We start from the raw sequence: 25,293 nt of genomic DNA, 5'->3' as shown, positions 1-25,293 counted from the left end.
ATAGTCTCACTACTTGTTCTCTCTCCAATTTCCTATACTATTGTCTCTACTCTCAGTAGCCTACTGAAACTATTCCTGGGGTATACCCACTTGGCGAAATCAATGGCTACTTTCCAATCTGATGTTCTACTGTTGCCACGTTGTAAACAGGTAATCAGCCCTTCTTCAGACACCATTCTTCTCTGGCACCCTACACTAATGACTCTTCTCTGAAATCTCACTTTTCCTATCTCCCTCATGGGCTTCTCTTACCTCAGAATCCACTCTCTTGCTAACCCCATTTTCTAAAACTTGCTGCACCTTTGGATAGCTCTGTTCTGGACATCTCATGCCTTCTTGAAATGTTACTAATTTTTTGCATTTGGCAAATGTTTGCAAGCCTTTACTGTGTGTCACTGCTGTACTGGATGCCCCCTAGATAAATGAGAAATAAGGGTGATTATTTTCTACGTTATTCCAAAGAGAAGAGGTAAAAAGTTTCTTTCATTTTGTTTTGATACTTTTGTGATCACTGGTTATTTTTAATATTTCACTGAAGTATTAAATGGGAATTACACATTGAATCATAATAAATTATGATAATTTTCCTTGCTAAATCATAGTTTACTATACTTTAAGATCAAGGACTATATTTTACTCATCTTTGTATCTGCTGGGACTTCATATTTATTAAATGGGTACTAAAACATTAAAATTATTTTTTATGACAAAAATACATCAAACTAATGTAAGTTACACTAGTTGACTCACTCATGCTGATTAGAAACTACAACTAGTAGTTAAATTAGTAAAAATAGAACTAATTTAATAAATAAGATTGAGATTGGAAAATCGTTTTAAATATGGAATGCAGAGAGAAATAAGAAGTCTGGAAGTGAATGCTTAGGACCTAGGTCTCTATATTGATGACTCCAAAATTTGTATCTCTAGCCCCTCCCCTCAATGTTTACAAGTCTCCTCCCCCTTCCACTAGAATTTACCAGGCACATATCATTCTTCTCCTCTACCATGAATTTTCATGCACACCAGTGATATTACTATTCTCATAGATAACCAGGTTAACATTTTAAATATATCTTTAGCTTGTAAGATACTGAAAATAAAGATGATATTGTATATTTCATATACATATAATATGTAAGGTAACTCATAACTGCAATTATCTTTTACCTATATTCACTCGACTGTTAATCAACTATAGTCAGTAAATTGTTAAAATTAGTGTTCATGCATCTTTCCTGATTTAAAAAAAATTAGTAAAGAGTCTATAAGAAAATTTTGACTGAACAAAGAAAAATACTTAAGTGAAATAAACACTGAAGTTTATGTTAGTATTCCCTTTGCCTTTGGGGAAAAAAAAAATAAAATTCCACCACTTAGCTCTAATCTTTCCCCACTAAGCAAGTAGATGCATTGTCAGATTTAAAATGATAATTGCATGTGTAGTAGGTTAATAAATTTAAGAACCTGCAGTCAAACCCACAGGGAAAATGAAACTAAGACAAAAAATTAAAGACATTTGACAGTAGAAAATATTTGGTAGAGTTTCTATTTCCTGTCCTTTCAGAGCTAAGTCTAAATTTTAATTAATATTTTTTCCAATATCTTGACTCAAGCATTTTATGCTGAAGGAATTATTGAAAGATCGACTAGCAGACTTTTGATGTAGCAATAAATATTTATGATCTGCTGACTGTATTTTTATATTATTCATTGACTAAGTCCTTAGATCTCTTGCTTCCCTAGACCAGTAATTAGGGAGATGAAATATGAGTTTATGCTTTCTCTGTCAGTTTCCTGAGTAGAATTCAAAATGGAAAGGGTAATAATCACATGGCCTCAACAGTCATTGATTACTGTTTATGTAGAAAAGTTAGCATGTCTGTGTAACTAAAACTGAAAATACAGTGTACAAAAAAGATATTACGTATATGTTTCAGGTGTTCTAGACCTAAGAGAACTGATTTATTTACAGTCAGCTAAAGGGCTAACTGCTCTCTCCATATTCTAGTCCATTATTTTCATTAAGATTATCCAACCGACTGTCAGTTAACTGGTATATCCAGTCCTATTACTAATAATTCTTCTGCCTTTTAGAATTCATGAAAAACTAAGACTTAAGATTTTCAAAGCTTCAGCATTTCGTAAAATACCTTAAAATCATTTTCATTGTTTTCTTTATTGTACATATTAGATGTTTATGACCTCAGAGTTACATCCCCAGTCATCCTCTCTGATAGGCTTGGCATTTTGTTTTTCTTTTCTTCTCATTTGCTTGCTTTAGGACTTGGGCAGGCTGACTAGCCCATTCAAATATAGCTAATTCTGTCACTGAGTAATTCTGTCACTGAGTGATTCTCCCTATGGGCCACAACTTGTGAATAAAAACAAGACTGTTATGTCAAGATAAAGTATCATCTGGGTCTGCTGGCAAGATGGCCAAATAGGAACAGCTCCAATCTGCAGCTCCCAGCGAGATCGAGGCAGGTGATTTCTGAATTTCCAACTGAAGTACCTGGTTCATCTCACTGGGACTGGTTGGACAGTGGGTGCAGCCCACAGAGGGCAAGCCAAAGCAGGGTGGGGAATCACCTCACCTGGGAAGCACAAGGGGTTGGGGAATTCTCTCCCCTTCCCAAGGGAAGCCATGAGAGACTGTACCAGGAGGAACAATGCACTCCAGTCCAGATACTGTGCTTTTCCCACCATCTTCACAGCCGGCAGACCAGGAGATTCCCTCTGGTGCCTACCCCACCAGGGCCCTGGGTTTCAAGCACAAAACTGGGCAGCCATTTGGCCAGACACCAAACTAGCTGCAGGAGTTTTTTTTTTCATACCCCAGTGGAACGTGGAACACCAGCAAGACAGAACCATTCACTCCCCTGGAAAGGAAAAGAGGCTGAGGCCAGGGAGCCAAGTGGTCTGGCTCAGCGGGTCCCACCCCCACAGAGCCCAGCAAGCTAAGATCCACTGGCTTGAAATTCTCACTGCCAGCACAGCAGTCTGACCCTGACCTGGGACGCTTGAGCTTGATAGGGGAAGGTGCATCCACCACTGCTAAAGCTTGAGTAGGTGGTTTTCCCCTCACAGTGTACATAAAGCTGCCATGAAGTACGAACTGAGGGGAGCCCACCGCAGCTAAGCAAGGCCTCTGCAGCCAGACTTCCTCTCTAGACTCCTCAACTCTGGGCAGGGCATCTCTAAAAAAAAAAGGCAGCACCCCAGTCAGGGACTTATAGATAAAACCCCCATCTCCCTGGGACAGAGCACTTGGGGGAAGGGGCGGTTCTGGGCACAGCTTCAGCAGACTTAAACGTCCCTGCCTGACAGCTCTGAAGAGAGCAGTGGTTCTCCCAGCACAGCATTTGAGCTCTGTTAAGGGACAGACTGCCTCCTCAAGTGGGTCCCTGACCCCTGTGTATCCTGACTGGGAGACACCTCCCAGTAGGAGCTGACAGACACCTCATACAGGAGAGCTATGGCTGGCATCTGCAGGTGCCCCTCTGGGATGAAGCTTCCAGAGGAAGGAACAGGCAACAAACTTTGCTGTTCTGCAGCATCTGCTGGTGATACCCAGGCAAACAGGGTCTGGAGTGGACCTCCAGCAAACTCCAGGAGACCTGCAGCAGAGGATCCTGACTGTTAGAAGGAAAACTAACAAAGAGAAAGGAATAGTATCAGCATCAACAAAAAGCACATCCACTCAGAAACTCCATCCGAAGGTCCCCAACATCAAGGACCAAAGGTAGATAAATCCACAAAGATGGGGAGAAACCAGTGCAAAAAGGCTGAAAATTCCAAAAACCAGAATGCCTCTTCTCCTCCAAAGGATCACAACTCCTCGCCAGCAAGGGAAGAAAACTGGGTGGAGAATGAGTTTGACGAACTGACAGAAGTACACTTCAGAAGGTAGGTATTAGCAAACTCCTCCGAACTAAAGGAGCATGTTCTAACTCAATGCAAGGAAGCTAACAACCTTGAAAAAAGGTTAGATGAATTGCTAACCAAAATAAACAGTTTAGAGAAAATATAAATGACCTGATGGAGCTGAAAAACACAGCACAAGAACTTCTTGAAGTATACATAAGTATCAATAGCCGAATCGATCAAGTGGAAGAAAGGATATTAGAGATTGATATCAACTCAATGAAAAAAAGCGAGAAGAGAAGATTAGGGAAAAAAGAGTGAAAAGAAATGAACAAAGCCTCCAAGAAATATGGAACTATGTGAAAAGACCAAATCTACGTGTGATTGGTATACCTGAAAGTGACGGGGAGAATGGAACCAAGGTGGAAAACACTCTTCAGGATATCATCCAGGAGAACTTCCCCAACATAGCAAGGGAGCCAACATTCAAATTCAGGAAATTCAGAGAACACCACAAAGATACTCCTCGAGAAGAGCAACCCCAACACACATAATTGTCAGATTCACCAAGGTTGAAATGAAGGAAAAAATGTTAAGGGCAGCCAGAGAGAAATGTTGGGTTACCCACAAAAGGAAGCCCATCAGACTAACAGCAGATCTCCCTGCAGAAACCCTACAAGCCAGAAGAGAGTAGGGGCCAATATTCAACATTCTTAAAGAATTTTCAACCCAGAATTTCATCTCCAGCCCAACTAAGCTTAATAAATGAATGAGAAATAAGATCCTTTACAGACAAGCAAATGCTGAGAGATTTTGTCACCACCAGGCCTGCCTTACAAGAGCTCCTGAAGGAAGCACTAAACATGGAAAGGATCAACTGGTAGCAGCCACTGCAAAAACATGCCAAATTGTAAAGACCATTGACACTATGAAGAAACTGCATCAACAAACGGGCAAAATAACCAGCTAGCATCATAATGACAGGATCAAATTCATACATAACAATATTAACCTTAAATGTAAACGAACTACATGCTCCAGTTAAAAGACATAGACTGGCAAATTGGATAAAGAGTCAAGACCCATCAGTATGCTATATTCAGTAGACCCATCTCACGTGCAAAGACACACATAGACTCAAAATAAAGGGATGGAGGAATATTTACCAAGCAAATGGAAAGCAAAAAAAAGCAGGGGTTGCAATCCTAGTCGCTGATAAAACAGACTTTAAACCAACAAAGATCAAAAGAGACAAAGAAGGGCATTACATAATGATAAAGGGATCAATCCAACAAGAAGAGCTAACTGTCCTAAATATATGTGCACCCGATACAGGAGCACCCAGATTCATAAAGCAAGTTCTTAGAGACCTAGAAAGAGACTTAGACTCTCACACAATAATAACGGGAGACTTTAACACACCACTGTCAACATTAGACAGACCAACAAGACAGAAAATTAACAAAGATATCCAGGACTTGAACTCAGCTCTGGACCAAGCAGACCTAATAGACATCTACAGAACTCTCCACCTGAAATCAACAGAATATACATTCTTCTCAGCACCACGTCGCATTTATTCTAAAATTGACCACATAATTGGAAGTAAAACACTCCTCAGCAAATACAAAAGAACGGAAATCATAAACAGTCTCTCAGACCACAGTGCAATCAAATTAGAACTCAGGATTAAGAAACTCATTCAAAACCACACAACTACATGGAAAATGAACAGCCTGCTCCTGAATGACTACTGGGTAAATAACGAAATGAAGGCAGAATAAAGATGTTCTTTGAAACCAATGAGAACAAAGGACACGATGCACCAGAATCTCTGGGACACATTTAAGCAGTGTGTAAAGGGAAATTTATAACACTAAATGCCCGCAAGAGAAAGCAAGAAAGATCTAAAATCGACACCCTAACATCGCAATTAAAAGAACTAGAGAAGCAAGAACATACAAACTCAAAAGTGAGCAGAAGACAAAAAATAACTAAGATCAGAGCAGAACTGAAGGAGATAGAGACACAAAAAACCCTTAAAAAATCAGTGCATCTAGGAGCTGGTTTTTAGAAAAGGTCAACCAAATAGACTGCTAGCAAGACTAATAAGAAAAGAGAGAAGAATCAAATAGACTCAATAAAAAATGATAAAGGGGATATCACCACCGATCCCACAGAAATACAAACTACCATCAGAATAGTATAAACACCTCTACACAAATAAACTAGAAAATCTAGAAGAAATGGATAAATTCCTGGACACATACACCATCCTAAGACTAAACCAGGAAGAAGTCAAATCCCTGAATAGACCAATACCAAGTTCTGAAATTGAGGCAATAATTAATAGCCTACCAACCAAAAAAAGTCCAGGACCAGACAGATTCACAGCCGAATTCTACCAGAGCTACAAAGAGGATCTGGTACCATTCCTTCTGAAACTATCCCAAACAACAGAAAAAGAAGGAATCCTCCCTAATTCATTTTATGAGGACAGCATCATTCTGAAACCAAAACCTGGCAGAGACACAACCAAAAAAGAAAATTTCAGGCCAATATCCCTGGTGAACCTCAATTCGAAAATCCTCAATAAAATACTGGCAAACCGAATCCAGCAGCACGTCAAAAAGCTTATCCTCCACGATCAAGTCGGCTTCATCCCTGGGATGCAAGGCTGGTTCAATCAACATAATGCATCACATAAACGGAACCAATGACAAAAACCACATGATTATCTCAATAGATGCAGAAAAGGCCTTTGATAAAATTCAACACCCCTTCATGCTAAAAACTCTCAATAAACTAGGTATTGATGGAACATATCTCAAAATAATAAGAGCTATTTATGACAAACCCACAGCCAATATCATACTGATATAGGAAAAAACTGTAAGCATTCCCCCCTTTGAAAACTGGCACAAGACAGGGATGCCCTCTCTCACCACTCCTATTCAACATAGTGTTGGAAGTTCTGGCCAGGGCAATCAGGCAAGAGAAAGAAAAAAAAGGTATTCAATTAGGAAAAGAGGAAGTCAAATTATCACTGTTTGCAATTATGTGCAATACTTCCAATTATGTGGTCAATTTTAGAATAAATAAGACGTGTTGCTGAGAAGAATGGACATTCTGTTGATTTCAGGCAGAGAGTTCTGTAGATGTCTATTAGGTCTGCTTGGTCCAGAGCTGAGTTCAAGTCCTGGATATCTTTGTTAATTTTCTGTCTCGTTGGTCTGTCTAATGTTGACAGTGGGGTGTTAACGTCTCCCATTATTTAGAAAACCCCATCGTCTCAGCCCCAAATCTCCTTAAGCTGATAGGCAACTTCAGCAAAGTCTCAGGATACAAAATCAATGTGCAAAAATCACAAGCATTCCTATACACCAATAACAGACAAACAGAGAGCCAAGTCATGAGTGAAATCCCATTCACAATTGCTACAAAGATAATAAAATACCTAGGAATACAACTTACAAGGGATGTGAAGGACCTCTTCAAGAAGAACTACAAACCACTGCTCAAGGAAATCAGAGAGGACACAAATGGAAAAATATTCCATGCTCATGGATAGGAAGAATCAATATCATGAAAATGGCCATACTGCCCAAGATAATTTATAGACTCAATGCTATCCCCATCAAGCTACCATTGACTTTCTTCACAGAATTGGAAAAAACTACTTCAAATTTCATACAGAATCAAAAAAGAGCCCTCACAGCCAAGACAATCCTAAGCAAAAAGAACAAAACTGGAGACATCATGCTATCAGACTTCAAACTATACTACAAGGCTACATTAACACAAACAGCATGGTACTGGTACCAAAACAGATACATAGACCAATGGAACAGAACAGAGGCCCCAGAAATACCACCACATATCTACCAGCATTTGATCTCTGACAAACCTGACAAAAACAAGCAATGGGGAAAGGATTCCCTATTTAATAAATGGTGTTGGGAAAACTGGCTAGCCATATGCAGAAAGCTGAAACTGGACCCCTTCCTTACACCTTATACAAAAATTAATTCAAGATGGATTAAAGACTTAAATGTTAGACCTAAAACCATAGAAACCCTAGAAGAAAACCTAGGCAATACCATTCAGGACATAGTCATGGGCAAAGACTTTATGACTAAAACACCAAAAGCAATGGCAACAAAAGCCAAAATTGACAAATGGGATCTAATTAAAGGCCTTCTGCACAGCAAAAGGAACTATCATCAGGGTGAACAGGCAACCTAAAGAATGGGAGAAAATTTTTGCAATCTATCCATCTGACAAAGGGCTAATATCCAGACTTAAACAAATGTGTAAGAAAAATCAAACAACCCCATCAAAAAGTGGGCGAAGGATATGAATAGCCACTTCTCAAAAGAAGACATTTATGCAGCCAACAAACATGAAAAAAAAGCTCATCATCACTGGTCATTAGAGAAATGCAAATCAAAACCACCATGAGATACTATCTCATGCCAGTTAGAATGGCAATCATTAAAAAGTTAGTAAACAACAGATGCTGGAGAGGATGTGGAGAACATGAATGCTTTTACACTGTTGGTGGGAGTTTAATTAGTTCAACTATTGTGGAAGACAGTGTGGCAATCCCTCAAGGATCTAGAACTAGAAATACCATTTGACTCAACAATCCCATTACTGGTTGTATATCCAAAGGATCATATATCATTCTACTATAAGGACTCATGCACAAATATGTTTATTGTGGCACTGTTCACAATAGCAAAGACTTGGAACCAACCCAAATGCCCATCAGTGATAGACTGGATAAAGAAAATGTGGCATATATACACCATAGAATACTATGCAGCCATTATAAAAGAGTGAGTTCATGTCCTTTGCAGGGACGTGGATGAACTAGAAAACATCATTCTCAGCAAATTAACACAAGAACAGAAAACGAAACACCACATGTTCTCACTCATAAGTGTGAGGTGAACAATGAGAGCACATGGACATAGGGAGGGGAACATCACACACCGGGGCTTGTCAGTGGGTGGGGGGCTGGTTGAGGGATAGCATTAGGAGAAATACCTAATGTAGATGATGGGTTGAAGGGTACAGCAAACCACCATGGCACGTGTATACCTATGTAACAAACCTGCACATTCTGCACATGTACCCCAGAACTTAAAGTATAATAAAAAATAATCTATGTTTACATTATGTAATACTTTTCAGTTCAAGCAGTCAAATGTAAATTAGATACACAAAATTTGAAGTGATTAATTTTAGCCTGTCTTAAGAAATGCCAAATAAATAGATGAAATGAACCTTGAAATTTTATAAGCTTATATAAACAAACATCCACATAGTTGGAAGACAAGTCTGAATGTAACCCCAAACCCACTAGGGGTATGGCAGCTCAGTCATTTATAATTGTTGGACTTGACTCCTCTAAGCCACAATTGCCTCTTCTATGTAATGGGGACACTATATTCTTCATCACGCTACTTCAAGGATTAAAATAAAATGAAGTCTCTGGAATGCTTGACTGACTTCTTGGCATACGGTTATTGTTCTTAGCACATAGTAGTAGCTATAGTTATTATTAGCCATTTCTCCCTGATCTCCAACAATATATTTATTCAGTAGAAAGGATTTAATTAGCTGTTTTGCATTACCTATACCAAAAATATCAAATTTAAAATATCCAAAATTTTGCTTTTCAATTAATATGCCACCACATGGTTAAGATTTTTGCATTGTACAATAATTTGAAGGAACTTGATATAAAATAAAGTGCTAGTGCTATAATTATAAAACTCATACTAGATTTAGTTTAAAAAGCAAGAAATTTTCATTGTTTCTGACTCTGTTGTTAACCTTATTTTGCTGGAATGGAAAGTATAACACAGAAGTGAACAAATTAACATACAAACATGTGGACCTATCTACATGTATATTTACGTAGATACATGTTCAATAGTCGTACAGAGGGAGGGGGCAACTTAAAATCTTTGGTGATGATTCTCTGCTAACTTATCCCAGTCAGCTTCAGTATCATATAATAATTGTAACATTGGAAACAGCAGGGGATTAGATTGTTTTCCTCCGTGCCATTTGTCTGTTGTGTCTGAGAATAAAATAATCTTCCATTGTCTGCAGTGAAATTGCTTTATATTTCCCTGAAACCCCTAGGCTAGGTTATTCATCCCCTTAAGAATCTGTGTGCAGTGTCTAACACGGAGAGGGTAGTGGTGGGTATATGCCCTATGGAGAAAGTAGTAGATGTCTGATAAAATAAGGTACCATATTGCTTTCCCTTTCTCTTCACATAAATCAGAGAGATAATAACTATCTTTCTCTGGATTCCAAAATTTCAGTGAAGCCAAGACAAATTTTGTTCTTCCTTTTTGCCATGTGTTTGAGGGAGTTTTAATTGGCAATCCTTGGTGTATATGGCCCAATGAACAGGCTGACTCCTTGATACTTGTATAAAATATTGCTCTTTCTGAAACTGAAATTGGAAATAAAAGGGTCCAAGTTTGAACAATCAAAGTCTGTCAATGAAGATTCACATCTGCCAAGTCTATTTCCCTTTTAACAAGTTAGAAGGGCTCTCTCGTCAAACCCTGGACCCATGTGCATGCAATATACAGTCACATTTTTAGCATGGCACATTTGTTCTTTCTGCCAGCCATTTTATGAAGCTCAGCAACTTAATGCTGCAGCACTTCTGAAATCCATATGGGAGAAATATTCTGGCAGCCCTCATTTCAGCAAGGCAGCAGGGGCCCTGTAATTTCTCACAAATGAAGGGAGTGAAAGAGTAGATCAACATAATAGAATATGTTATACTACCAGTTAAGGCATGTTGACTGGCTTGCAATTGAAGCACTAGTCAGAACACTTCCCAGAATTACCATGTAGGTTGATAGAGACCTAGGGTTGAGCACTTCTCCGACCAAGCAGCTCCACCAGTAGACATCCTGCAACACCCAGTGTGGGTATTCAGGACTAGCAACCAGCTCACAATGCAGCAAACAGTACCTTTTTTCAAAAGCAATTCAAGAAAGCAACTTCTCAGAAGGTTGTCTGCAGTTGGAGTCATAAAAGAGGGTTTTTTGGCCAGGCATGGTGGCTCACACCTGTAATCCCAGCACTTTAGGAGGCCAAGGTGGGCGGATCACGAGGTCACGAGACCAGCCTGGCCATCATGGTGAAACCCCGTCTCTACTAAAAATACAAAAAAATTAGCCTGGTGTAGTGGCGTGATCCTGTAGTCCCAGCTACTCGGGAGGCTGAGACAGGAGAATTGCTTGAACCCGGGAGGTGGAGGTTGCAGTAAGCTGAGATCATGCCACTGCACTCCAGCCTGGGTGACAGAGCAAGACTCTGTCTCAAAAAAAAAAAGGGATTTTTTCCCCCTCTTCTACGTCAATTTCATGGTATCAGAAACTAAATTCTACTTTCCTCTGGCTAAAAACACTGCTCTGGCTGAGTGTGTTGGCTCACGACTGCAATCGCACAATTTTGGGAGGCCAAGGTGGGCAGATTGCTTGAGTCCAGGAGTTCAAGACCAGCCTGGGCAACATGACAAAACTCCCATCTCTACCAAAATATACAAAAATTAGCCAGACATGGTGGCATGAGCCTGTAGCCCCAGCTCCTCGGGGAGCTGAGGTGGGAGGATCAGTTGAACCCTGAAGGTCAAGACTGCAGTGAGCCGGGATAGTGCCACTACACTTTAGCCTGGGTGACAGGGAAACCTTGTCTCAAATAAACATAAAAACACTGCTCTACGTGTCTTAAAAGTGTGTGTACGTGCCTAGGTCAGGTAGTAAACACACACATACACACACAATTACAAAAACCTTCAACCATTTGGCGGGAGGTAGCAGTTTGAAATGAAATGGATGCATCCATCCTTTTTTCATCCCTCTCACTCTCTCTCCTTGTTATTCCTTTTTCTTGCTCAGTCAGAACTGCAGGCTATTGACAGTTGCGGGTAGAGTAGAATAAACTGTTGGAAAGTGTGACCAGAGACAGTTCCCAGCTCCACCCCAGCCAGCAGTCCCTTCATTTCAGGGGAGGTTTGATAGCTACTTGCTACGCTATGTTGGAGTAAGGTCAAAAGATGGCGACAGGTCATGCCATGCTGGCCTCTAGGAGCCATTTCTGCAAAAACGAATCATGCTTGTTCAGGAATACAATTACAGCTGTTTGAAAATAAGCATGCATGTTGTTCAATGTCCACATAAAATTATGACTCTTTCCTGCAAGGTATTTTTGTAACTAGAGTTTTGGTTTTTGGAGTGGGGGTTGGGGGCGGTTAATATGTGGTTGAGTCCACAGGTGTGTCCATAACCCACAGAAGAGTACAGGGGAATGCTACATTTTTATCTTGCTTTCATAAACTTTTAGGGTTTTAAGATTTCTTCTTGAAAATCTTTTGGGTTCTTTTCTAGTAACCTATTTTTATCTTATACAACCCCTCTGATAAAATGTTTGCTACTTTTTGTTTAAAATTCACTACATTCTTTAGAGAAATGACAGATTCATTGACCATTTTATGCTATTGAATTCCCAACGTGAGCAAGCTATTTAGAAAGCCAGTGCTTTTTGGAGCTTTGCAAGAAACAGTCTTTTGTGCTTTCTTTTTTGTGGCTTTACTTATAGTTTTTAATCTGAAGTGTTGTTTCATCTTTGCCAGATCAGCAAATAATCAGTGCTTTAGATTCTCTTAGAATGTATTTTCTGTTTCCTTTTCAACAAAGTAAAATGCAAGTATTTAAATATATCTTACCACTCAATGCCAAACACAAAGGAAATGTAAATACATCGTTGGACTAATTCACATCTGGTAGGGAGTAATTGTTGGATGTGTGCTGCTTAATCATAATTTAAAAAAAAAAAACAAGCTTTTAATTAAGCATCTGCACTGGGTCACACAGATGAAATTATAAAATGTGATTAAGAAGCCTTTCATTCTTTTGAGAAATAAGTGGCTACTCCAGTATCTTAGTATCCTTCTGCCTATAGATAAGAGTGTTGGAGTCACTGGCTACTTTTGTAGAAAATCAGAGAAGTTCAAGGTAAGCCCCGATAGGCTTATCACTTACCTGTTTAACTGCACCACTGAAATTTCCCAGTGCCTTATATGAATTCAGTAGGACAGCTTTCCACATTTTCATCAGATGTAGGAACTCTTAAAGCTGCACCTTAGAAGTTGTCTTTTCTGACTTCTGCATTTTACGTGAAAATAAAGTAGACCAAGAAAAGTTAAATACTTCGCCCAAGATCACACAGCTATTGAAACAATTTATACTAGAGCTTATGTTTTGTGATGGTTATAAGTTCTGTGAGTTATAATGCCCTGTCACCTCCCACCTCAGCATTCTCCTAGCTCTCTTCCAAGCAGCTTATTTTGGAGGACTGCAGAAAATGGACCTAGCAAATACAGTGGATTCCCCGATTCCCCTGTTTGCAATTATCTGCTTCACTGCATGCCTCCATTAACTTAGCTAATCAAAAGAATATTGCAGTTCATCTCTCAATTTTCACCTTCAGGAATTAAAGATATTTTACCCAGCATTCTGACCGATAATAAGCTGAGGGACACAAAAGAGTCCTCAACTCAAAATACATCCTGGGCTGCTTGAAATTCTTAGCATTTGTGTTGAAGTCTTGGATTCACTTCCTCAATCTAACCTAATTATCAATGTGACTTTAGAGAAGTGACTTAACTTCTTCTAGGTTCAGTTTCCCATGTATCAAGTACAGATAACAATGGCTATCTTATATGGGTTTTGTAAGGATTAGGTAAGATGGAGTTTGTAAATGCCAGATAAATATTAAGTATATTAAAATGGTAGTCAATGCTGTTAGTGTGGTTAAATGGATTGAAGAATCACGCTATCAGGAAGAGTAACACACAGGAAGAAGTAATTAACATTCAGCTAAAGGAGGCGGTCAGAAAGGTGGTTTAAAAGGTGAGGCTGGCCTTAAAGGGTAACGAGCAGCTTGTTAGTGGGGACAAAGCAAGGAGAGAAGGAGAAACAAGAGCACAGAGACTGGAAAGAAAATATAGTGTTGGGGGCATGTCCTAAAGCTGGGGCCAACTGAAGCATAGAGTAGGTTGGAAAAAGCAGGAGACAATGAAAATGTGAACTGAGAGCCTCGTATGTCATGCTAGAAAGTTTGGACTGAACTCTGTCCCTGTCAGCAGGCACTAAAGGATGTTAAGTGAAAAGGGCATTAGAGTGTATGGTATGGGAGATGAGCTGACAGGGAAGCAGGTAGAAGGCAGTATCTAGTGCTTTGCAGCCGCTGGATATGGAGAATATGAAGACTATTCACACCCTCCTGATTCTTGAGCCAATCCCGACCAGAAGTGGAGATTTAGCAATGTCTTATGTATTCCTAGAGGTCAAAATGGGGTGAGACTTTAGAACCCCATTACCCCACAAGCTCACTTGGTCATGCCATATGTTGGGCTTCTCTTTGCTATTTCCCTAGTCATTCCCTCTGTGACATCAGGGAGCCCAGCTAAGAGACTATTGCAGAAGTTCATACAATAGATGGTAAGAATCTCATCTTGGGTAGTAGTAGTAGAAAAAAGAAAGCAAGGAACCAGTTGAAAAGCTGTCTAAATCCCATTACTGGGTATATATCCAAAAGAAAATAAATCGTTCTGCCAAAAAGACACATGCACTCATATGTTCATTGCAGTGCTCTTCACAATAGCAAAGGCATGGAATCAATCTAGGTGCCTACCAATGGTGGATTGGATAAAGAAAATGTGGTACATATAATGCCATGGAATACTACACAGACATAAAAAATGCTCTTTACAGCAACATGAATGCAGCTAGAGACTGTAACCCTAACTGAGTTAACACAAGAACAGAAAATCAAATATTACATGTTCTCACTTATAAGTGGGAGCTAAATGCTGGATATTCATGGACATAAAGATGGCAACGATAGACACTGGGGACTACTAGACAGAGGAGGGAGAGACGGGAGTAAGGACTGAAAAAACCTCCCTATTGGGCACTATGCTTACTACCTGGGCGATGGGATCAGTCATACTCCAAACCTCAGCCTTGAGCAGTATACCCATGTAACAAACCTACGCATGTATCCTCTGAATCTGAAATTTAAAAGTTGAAATTTTAAAAAATAAAAGTTATCCAAGAGCTAGAATCTAAGGGCCTTTGTCTTAGAATTTTAAAGTGAAGATACTTTCAAGATCATCTGGTTCAATCCTCTCTTTTTATAACATGATGCCCGGCTCATAGTAGTTGAATATGTGTAAATCTTTGCTGAATAAATTAATGAATAAGTGAGGAATAAGACCTAGGAAGTGTTGATACCACTAGTTATTGGCATACCTGGCCTAACAACATAAACCCCCTGACTTCTAAGTCAGTGCTCTGAGAGCCTCATATGTCATGCTAGAAAGTTTGGACTGAGCTCTGTCTCTATGAGTGGGCACTAAAGGATGTTAGGTGAAAAGGACAACAGAGTGTATGGTATGGAAGATGAGTTGACAGCGAAGCAGATAGAAGGCAATATCTAGTGTTTTGCAGCCATTAAGCCACATTTGGGCTCATAATACATAGAAAATTATTGAGAAAGACGTTGTCTGAACCTAATTTTTATTCACAGTGTCATTTATAAAGTAACACATAAGAATAAACAAAAAGATTCTTCTAACGAAGGAATTTTTTATCATCTGTTACACCTTTCATGCCTAAGTATCTGTTTTTGCATTTCTATTAATACATAATTTGATGGGTATATATAATAATGCTACCTGCAAGACTGATGTGTAAAGTCAGTAGAACCATGGTAAGATCCAGAACCTCCAAAATTGAATTCTTCTCCAATTGATGGCTGTTTTTATAACTGTCACTCTAAGGAGACCATCTGGGAATTTTTAGAAACTGCTTCAAATTATTTTAAGGGAGACCCAACTTCAACTCTACTGGTATGACATACCACAGTGTTTCACTTTGGGGAATAAACTGTGTTGAGAGCAGTTATTTTCCATTTAACTGATGTGGTGAGTAGCACACCCCCAAAAGTACATGTCAGAATTTATTATGTTTGTGGGGGTTGAGTAGACTCAGAATAGATGTACAATATTATAATAAAATTATGTATTATGATTTAAAACACAAATTAATATAAGCTGCAGAAAATAAAGCTCAGTCAAATCTTATTAACCGAGAGGAAACTTTAAAAATAATCCTTTTTAATGTAGAGTGCATGTAATTGGTAGGATGGGAGTTGTCAGGTTTTTTTATTTTTCTTTTATCGAAAATCTGGATAACCTGGCAAAAACAGAAGTTAGAAACACTAAACTGGAGGTAGTACATTTAGCTGTGAAATCTTTTCTGGTTTCCTCTGACTAAATCTTTCCATCCTTTATTCAGTGAGAATCTATCCTAAATATCTGAAGAATTCTCAACATAGTAATGATGCTCTGTATATAGTGTAGAGAAATCTTGGAACGGGTAGAACTCACACAAAGGAACAAAGTCTGAGATGCATTTGCAAGCCTCAGACATGAGATAGGAGCAATGTCAGGAAGAGTGATGGAAGATACCTTTGAAGAGGTGAGGAAGGAAATGAATTGGTAGGCATGATTCCATACATAGAAAGGAAGTGCTCTTGAGGGTAAAGGGATAGCAGAATTTAACTAGAGGCAAGTAACAAGTTGTAAGTTGTGAGTAGTAAAGATACCAGCTTCACAATAATAACTTATTTGGTGGTGAAGACAAAGATAAGTTGGAAAGACTTAAACAGCTGATCAAGAGATCAAGTAGTTTGAACTTAATGGAGTAGACTGTAAGATGAGAATTGACTAGGAAGTAAATTATTCTAGTCTGGTCCAAGGTTGTGTTTAAGGAAGGCAGACAGGGAGTGGTAAGTGAGAGATGTTGAAAAGGAAGATTCTGTAGGCCACAGTGACTCAAAGAATGCGGGGGTAGAGGAAAGAGGTATAAAAATAACTCTAATTAAAGCAATGCTTTATGTAGAGTGCCCTATTTTATCCAAAATGATGAGGTATCCTATTCTGTATTTTGATTCCCATGACTAAGAAAGAAAAAATTATCTTAGAACATTTTTTTCATACAGGACAGCAGTTTTAAAGCTCCTGCTTCATCAAACTCACTCTACCTCACTTGCACTTTGAAATTCCATAATTGGCAATCAGGTTAGTGTGAGACCAGACCTGTGGGACACCTAACTCATCACTCACACTCAATCTGACCAACAGGCCTGAGGTCAGTAGCCCTAGAACTAACCTAAATATGGCCTGAAGTGAATGACCATTTAGCAAACAAAGTAAATTTTCCAGCAATGTAGTAATGAAAATATATGCTTAGCTTTCAAAAGAAATGTATCTTCTTATTTTTATGGAGAAAAAATTTGATAAAATTATAAGTATTTTCACAAGGATGATCTCATTTTCACAGTAGCTCTGCAAAAGAGGAAATGTAAGAGATATTTTTATTCCCATTTTATAAAAGAAGAAATTGAGAGATGGGGAGATCAAGTGACTCTTCCAATTCTCCGTCTTAAGTAGGCCAACAGGTTAGAGCCAGAGCCAGTCTTCCTGATGATGTCCCTTTCTGTGCTCTTAAACCCAATCTGTCTGAGGACTTGGCATGGCACCGTCAGATGACATATACCAGGTGTCTTATATTTTTATTTCACGACATGTAAATGACATTCATACAGCACAGTCTATTAATATTCTATCCAATAAGTTCTATCTGAACAAGCAAATGTTTGCTGACATCCCCGTCTATAAGAGTTTTGGGCATGACTTATTATCTAGACATCTATATATTTTTTTAAAGTGGGCAGTTGAGTACCATCAAGTTGTTATATAGTTTTATCCTGTGATAACTGACCACTCATCTTTTACATTCAGAAATCTTCTACGTATCTTCATAAAGATATTGTTGCAGTGTTCTTTATCCTTGCCTGATGACTTGAAAAATTGCTGTTAGTGGAAAATATCCATAAATTGTAAAAGGCAGTCTTACTAAGAAACACAAATAGTTCTCACTCTGTTTCTAAATAGCAAGATCACATTAAAACTCAAAAATAGGTAACATTAATCACTACAATTCAAACTACTACTCTCTAGACCTGGCAGGGAAACTTGAGAGCTTTCAACATAACCCTTAGTTCTTTCCCGTGAAATTCTGGCAGAGCAGAGGGAAGGAGAGAGCGTGCTTGGGGACTGGGGAGTCTGTTAACAGTGATTAAAGTTAGGGAGAGCCTTAGAGGAAGTGGCATTTGTTACCTCTCTGACTTTTACTTGGCCATTCAGAAACCCATTGTTTCCACAATCATACTCAAGTCATCCTTGACTGTAACTGTGGTGGGAATATCTGGGTAGAACTGTCCTGATTTTATAGAAGAATATAACAAAGGACAAAGAGTAATTACTGAAATAGCAATCATCTTTTGCATAACAATTTACAGCTTAGAAACCCTTTCACCTGTATGATCTCATTCGTTATTTCCCATGGAACAATAAGTTGCTATTACTATTGTTCATCATTACTTCTAAAAAATCTGAGTCACAGAGGATTGAAGCCAGTTTGGGAAAGTTATACAGCTAATAAGTGATGAAACTAGAACTCAGACCAAAGTCTTTTGACCTCATATCCCATGTGATCTCTACTATACCTTGCAGCCTCCTGAACCTAAGAAGAATGTTGGAGCAAGAATGAAAGTAGACATAAAAAATAGTCAATGAGTTAAAAAAAACTCACTGAATAGGAAATTGAGGAAATGAGGCATACCCAAGAGAAAATCCAAAAGGCCAATAAACATGAAAAGATGCTCACCTTCACTGGCAGTCTGGGAAATGCAAATCAAAACTATGATCACATCCATTAGATTGGTAAAAATTAAGTCTGAGAATACGAAGTACTGTGTCAGATGTAAAGCAATGAAAATTTCAACACACTACCGATCAGAGTGTAAATCAATGTGACCTCTTTTGTCAGCCATTTGCCACTATCTAACAAAGTTGAAGATGCACATGGTCTGTGCCAGCATGGGGTTCATAGCAGAGTTATTTTCAATAGCCACAGATTTGTCATAACTCCGGTGTCCATTAACAAAAGAATGGATGAATGTTATTAAGTAGTAATATAGCCATCACTAAATACTGTATTACAATGAAAACTAATCAACTAGAGGCACAAGTATCAAAATAGATAAATATCACAAACATATTTTAAGAAAAGTTACAGAATATTAAAATATATACCATTTACAAAAGGCTTAAAATATGTAAAATACTTTCCAGGGATTATTATTATTTAGAGATTAGATACTATTTAGAGATATTGTTTTTACGGACACCTAGATATGATATAAATTATAAAGGTATATGTAAATAACAAACCTCAAATAGGGCAATGGTTACCTTGGAAAGGGCTGTAAAGGAGTGCAAGTTGGGGGAGAGGTGCTAGCCAAGGGGGATTCAACTAATATGAGCAATGTTCCAATCATTAAGTTGGATGTTAGTATACAAGTATTTGTTGTTCTTTCAACCTTTTAAATGTAGAAAATATAACATTAAAACTAAAAGAAACAGGAGAGAAAAATAGTCTATCTGAATCAGACACTTCTCTGGGACACTGAGATGAATGGAATCAATTAAAAACGATTCCCAAAGCATCCCCAGCTGCCACAGTCTGAAGAGGAATTATAATAACAGTGAGGGAATGTCCACTCCAATTCAGTTCTGAGCCGTGGACCCACGTTCCAGCCACCACATCAGTACCCTCTCTGATAGACATTATGGAAAAGTGAAGTTCCATCTGACCAATCACATAGGTTGTGACATTTTCTAGAGGCAGACCTAACCTGGATCCCTGAAAATGTCTGCTTGGCCTCTCTGTCAATTTGGGAAGAGGGACTGTTAATTAAGACAATGCTGTTAATTGTTTTATTCATTTTATGTTATACACCTACAAAAGACCAGAAAAGTTGTCAACTCTAAAAGTTCAACTCTGTTTTTCATTTTTAACGTTTGCAAGCTTGCTGGGCAAGGATGTCTCAGAATGAAATCCCTAGCCATTTGTACCTCCCATTCCAGAATTATTCTGATAAACTGATGTCTGTTGAGTTGCTTATTTCAAGATCTGTGAAAACATGTCTCTTCATCCCTAATATACTCCTCAGCATAGTCAGGCACAATCTCAATTTGCAAGCTCAATTTTCAAGTATTATGGTTTGTGAAGATAAAAATACCAATCCATGATAAAATAGTTCTCCAAAAATAAAATTGTTATTCATACATAATTGAAATTTTTAAAAAAACATTTATCTCAAACAGCCATGATTTTCTGCATTTTAAGCAGGAAAAAATATTTCTCTGAATATATTTTATAATGGATAATTTGCATTCAGAGCATTTCTAATCATAAAGTTAGCCTCTAACCAGTAGACCTCTGAAAATCTGTGATAGTTCACTGGGGAGAAAGGACAAGTGCCTTTATTGAAACTGATCCACAGAAATATTAGTTTATCTAAGATCAGAGGATGAACTGTGGCAACTTTCTGTTTGAAACCAAGGGACCCAAATCTCCTCCATCCTATTTTAACAACAATCATATTAATAATAGTCCACATTTATTGAGCACTGTGTGTCATACACTATGCCAAGTACTTTTCCTACATTATGTCATTTCATTCTCACAACTTTACAAATGAGGAACTGTGGCTCAAAGCAGGGAACTTGGTCAATATCATGTATCTGTTAAATAGTAGAGCCAAGGTGTCAACCCAGCTCCCTAATCCCAAAACCTGCACCCTTGACCTTTGCTCGCATATACATGGAAGCTTTGTAATTACCTGCTATAGATGGAAAAAAATAAATGGGCAAATATTTTTCTGTTCCATAAAAAAGAAAAAAGGCAATTGACTTATTCAACTTATACAAAAAAAAATATGCTAGGGCTTTGTTTTTCGTCTAAAACTCATGACCACTACTTCTCAATAGTTCGAAAATTATATTAACTGAATTACACTGAAGATGGAATATAAGATGAAAAAGAAGCATAGAGAATGTGCTTCTTCAAGGTACACATTCCTCTAACCTTTTCTTTCAGAGCCTTTGTTTCTGAATATGAAGTTGTTTCTGAACTTCAAGAATAACCAAATAGCTTTTTTTCAGCACTTCATCATTGTATTTGCTGGCAGTCCTGTTGTAACCTTGAGTCACCCACAGTGATTTTAAGTATTATTCTAATTGATTTCTCACTGCTTACTAAGAAACAACACCTCTCACTAGTCTCGTAAATAATTCCATTTCTCTATGTCAATGTTAATTGAACTTACCTCATGTTGTCAATCTCTTTTTTTCTTACAGGTGATGTCATTGTCTATATTAATGAAGTTTGTGTCCTTGGACACACTCATGCAGATGTTGTCAAACTTTTCCAGTCTGTTCCTATTGGTCAGAGTGTCAACCTGGTGTTGTGTCGTGGCTACCCTTTGCCCTTTGATCCTGAAGACCCTGCTAACAGCATGGTGCCACCCCTTGCAATAATGGAGAGGCCACCTCCAGTGATGGTCAATGGAAGACACAACTATGAAACATATTTGGAGTACATTTCTCGGACCTCACAGTCAGTTCCAGATATAACAGATCGGCCGCCTCATTCTCTGCACTCCATGCCAACTGATGGTCAGCTAGACGGCACGTATCCACCGCCCGTCCATGATGACAATGTGTCTATGGCTTCATCTGGGGCCACCCAAGCTGAACTTATGACCTTAACCATTGTGAAAGGTGCCCAGGGCTTCGGCTTCACTATTGCCGACAGTCCTACAGGACAGCGGGTGAAACAAATACTTGACATTCAGGGATGCCCTGGCCTGTGTGAAGGCGACCTCATTGTTGAGATCAACCAGCAGAATGTACAGAACCTGAGCCATACAGAAGTAGTGGATATACTTAAGGACTGTCCCATTGGAAGTGAAACTTCTTTGATTATCCATCGAGGAGGTAAGACAAACACTGGCTCAGCAATAAAATATGTGGGTAAAATAGTAGGATCATTTAATAATATTGTTAAAATGCAGATTTCCTTGGAGTTGAATGAAATTATACTTTAAAAAATAAAGCTTAAAGAGTGAGAGAGAAAAACATGAATTAAAGGAAACTTTGTTTTTGAATTCAGAATATGTCTTTTTCTATTTTGTATTAAACACAATAATAATAGTTCTTTCAGTCTTACAGACATATTGATAGAAAGTTGGAGGGTAAAGATTAAATCCCCAACTATGAATGTATTTTGTTTCAAAAATTCATTCATGTATCGGTCATGGAGAACTCAAACTGGTTTCCCATTGATTTAATTAAGAAACCTGCTTTTACGATGGAAGCAACGCTTTTAATCGTGCTTAGGTTTCCAGGCTAGCAGGTGGAAGCCAGTTCAACCCCTACTAAGCCCAAGCACAGTCTTGACAATACTCAGAAGGACCATGAACTGTGAGAGCTGTGGGAGCTGTGCTGCTGTAGAAAAATCTTTTCACAGTTTGGAATGATGCTGTTCAGGACACTTCTGCTACTACAGGAACTGCACTAGCAACAATTACCCATAGTGCCTCCCATGATCTGGGAAGAAAGTTACAGAACAGGGTGAGGGCTGAAGTTCTGGCCTGAGTGTCCCGGGCAAAGTATGGAAATAGGAACAGTGCCAAGTGTGGTAGAAGCTCTGAGCCCTGAATGTTTCTTCCCCTCTACCTTTTCTGTGGGGAAGGGAATGGGGTAAAGCACAGGGCCCCTTCTCCACACCTCTGCTGCTTTGCTCTGGATGACCAGTGAACCTAGAGAGAGAAGGGAGGGAAGGGGCCATAGATAAAGAGGATACTATCTCGAAAAAAGAGTGTAAAGGAAAAGGATCAGGCTAAGCCCTGGTTTTCCCATTTGCCAATTTGTGGACTTAGGACACTGAAAGTCAATGAGCCTCAGCCATGTCATCTGTTACAATGGGATAATACTACTACCTAACCCAGTGGTAGTGTTGTAGCCCAACATCTGCTCACTAAATGTCTGGCGAGTGTAAACATCGAAGCTTCAGCATGGGTGGGTCAGAAGGAACAGGACAATGAGGAACTCATGCATGAAGGACACACGTGTGACAAACATGTGGTTGCCTATTCAAAGCACTCAAAACAGCCTGAAACTCTCAGTTTGAAATGCAAGTGAAGGCTGTCAAAGCTGAAAGAAAGAAGCACCTTTTATGATTTATTTGGCCCTGTCTGCAGGTGTTTTTCCTTCAAGGAAGTATCACATTGTTGATTCCTTGTTTGGAAACGGACAGCAAACACCAGGCATTTGTGAGCAGCACTCTACAAAGTCTTAGGTTCCCGGTACTAAAAGGGAAATTCATATGATAGCCAAACAATCTTAAATTTGACCTTCTCAAGGCATTGTTACAAAATAGCACTTGAATTCTCATAATTAAATGTTGGCAAGGTATTTTAATTTCTTGCATTGCTTAAGATTAAAATAAACATTGCTAATTAAATAGCCATATCTTCATAGTGTCCAAATGAAAATCAAATATTTGGACCAAGTTCTTGATATTAAATGGTATCACAAACTCACTGTGCAGTATCCACTGTATGATTCATAGAAACAAATTTGGATGCATTTTTTATATACAGCTTCTTCTAAAAGCATGACATAGCAGAAAAAAGGTACTTTGAAATCCCTAATTTACATTATGGTAATTTGTACTTTTCTGAAAATATTCGTTGTGTGCCTGCTATCAGCTTGGCTACCCCATTCTCACTTTTCCTTTGCCCCCCATTTACTCCACAAGTAATCAAAGTGGTCTTTGCATTTGGTTTGTGTTTGGGGATGAGGGAATTGGTTTTTGTTTTTTGCCTAGCATAGCAAAATGCAGAATGCTGTGATGCTTAAAGTACTTCTAGTCGAAAACCTCTTGAGTTTACCCTAATTCCCACAATTTATACTCATCTCTCTGAAATTAATAGGAACTAGCACCATGCTTATGTGGTGAAATTCACTTTATCTTATTATGGGCTACCAGAAGTGCCTATGACCTCTTTGAGATAAGCAGACTCAAGAGCTGAGTCGCAGGCCTGGGTCCTTATATCAGGACCATGGGTGGTCGGCTGTTTTTAATTATTTACTAGAGTTTTTAATTTATAAAGTAATAATGTACATGGTTTAACTTTTTTAAAGCAAATAATGTCAACAAGTATAAAATGAAAGTAATTGTCTGTCCTATCCCAGACTTTCAGTCCTTTCTCCCAGAAGCAAATATATTGTTTGTATGTATAGTCACAGAAAGTTTATGGTCTACTAGCACGTGTATGAATATATATAGTATGTTTAATATAGATGGGATAAGTGTGTGCTACTTTAAAATACCTAGGTTATTTGGTGTTTTACATACACCATGTGATATAATTTACATACCACAACACTCACCAATGTAAGTGTATGCTCAGTAAGTTGCTAAAATGATATAGTTGTGCAACAATCATCATAATCCTTAGAACATCCATCATCCCGAATTCTCCCAAACCCCAGGTAACCACTAATATGCTTTCTGAATCGTTTTGTCTTTCTATAATTTTTTCATAAATGGAATCATACAGTATATAATATTTTACTTAGCTTAATGCTGGTGAGAGTTACCTATGTCGGTGAGGTTTAAGTGTTTGTTTCTTTTATGGCTGCATAGTATTCCATTGTACAGATACACTCCATTTTCCTGTCCATTCATTAGTGTATGGACATTTGAGTTGTTTTCAGTTTTTGACATTTATGAATCATGTTGTTATGAACATTTGGATACACATGTTTGTGTTGCTTATGTTTTCATTTTTCTTGGGTAGATACCTAGGAGTAGTATTGCTCAGCTGTAAGAAGAATATATATTTAAATTGTTAAGAAGTAGAATGTTTTCTAAAATGGCTGTTGTACAAGGTTTCCAATAGCTGCCCATTGTTTTTTTTTTTTTTTTTTTGGAGACAGAGTCTCACTCTGTTGCCCAGGCTGGAGTGCAGTGGCACGATCTTGGCTCACTGCAACCTCCACCTCCTGGGTTCAAGCAATTCTCCTGCCTCAGCCTCCTGAGTAGCTGGGATTACAGGCACGTGCCACCACATCTGGCTAATTTTTTATATTTTTGGTAGAGACAGGGTTTCACTGTGTTAGCCAGGATGGTCTCAGTATCCTGACCTCGTGATCCACCCACCTCAGCCTCCCGAAGTGCTGGGATTACGGGCGTGAGCCACCGTGCCTGGCCCAAGTTTTTTTTTTTCTTATATGGATCATTCTTTTGGTGTTATATCTAAGAAATCTTTGCCTGACCTGAGATTTCTTGTGTTTTCTTCTAAAAATTGTATACCTTTAGCTCTTTTATTTAGGTCTGT

At 38.6% G+C, this 25,293-nt stretch overlaps 1 protein-coding gene across 15 annotated transcripts in view; it reads left to right on the top strand.

Annotated features, from left to right (window-relative positions):
• MAGI2 (membrane associated guanylate kinase, WW and PDZ domain containing 2) overlaps window positions 1-25,293 on the top strand; it is a 1,436,613-nt gene that overhangs the window by 1,175,842 nt on the left and 235,478 nt on the right. For all 15 annotated transcript variants that reach the window (XM_047421093.1, XM_017012845.3, NM_001301128.2 and 12 more), the window contains one exon: window positions 21,245-21,883. In XM_047421093.1, coding sequence (XP_047277049.1) covers window positions 21,245-21,883 — 639 coding nt within the window. The remainder of the gene's footprint in view (window positions 1-21,244; window positions 21,884-25,293) is intronic.

Source organism: Homo sapiens, chromosome 7 (assembly GCF_000001405.40).
Source record: "Homo sapiens chromosome 7, GRCh38.p14 Primary Assembly".
Classification (NCBI taxonomy): Eukaryota; Metazoa; Chordata; class Mammalia; order Primates; family Hominidae; genus Homo; species Homo sapiens.
The sequence above is the reverse complement of the archived record's forward strand: the minus strand, read 5'-3'. Positions and strand labels throughout refer to the sequence as shown.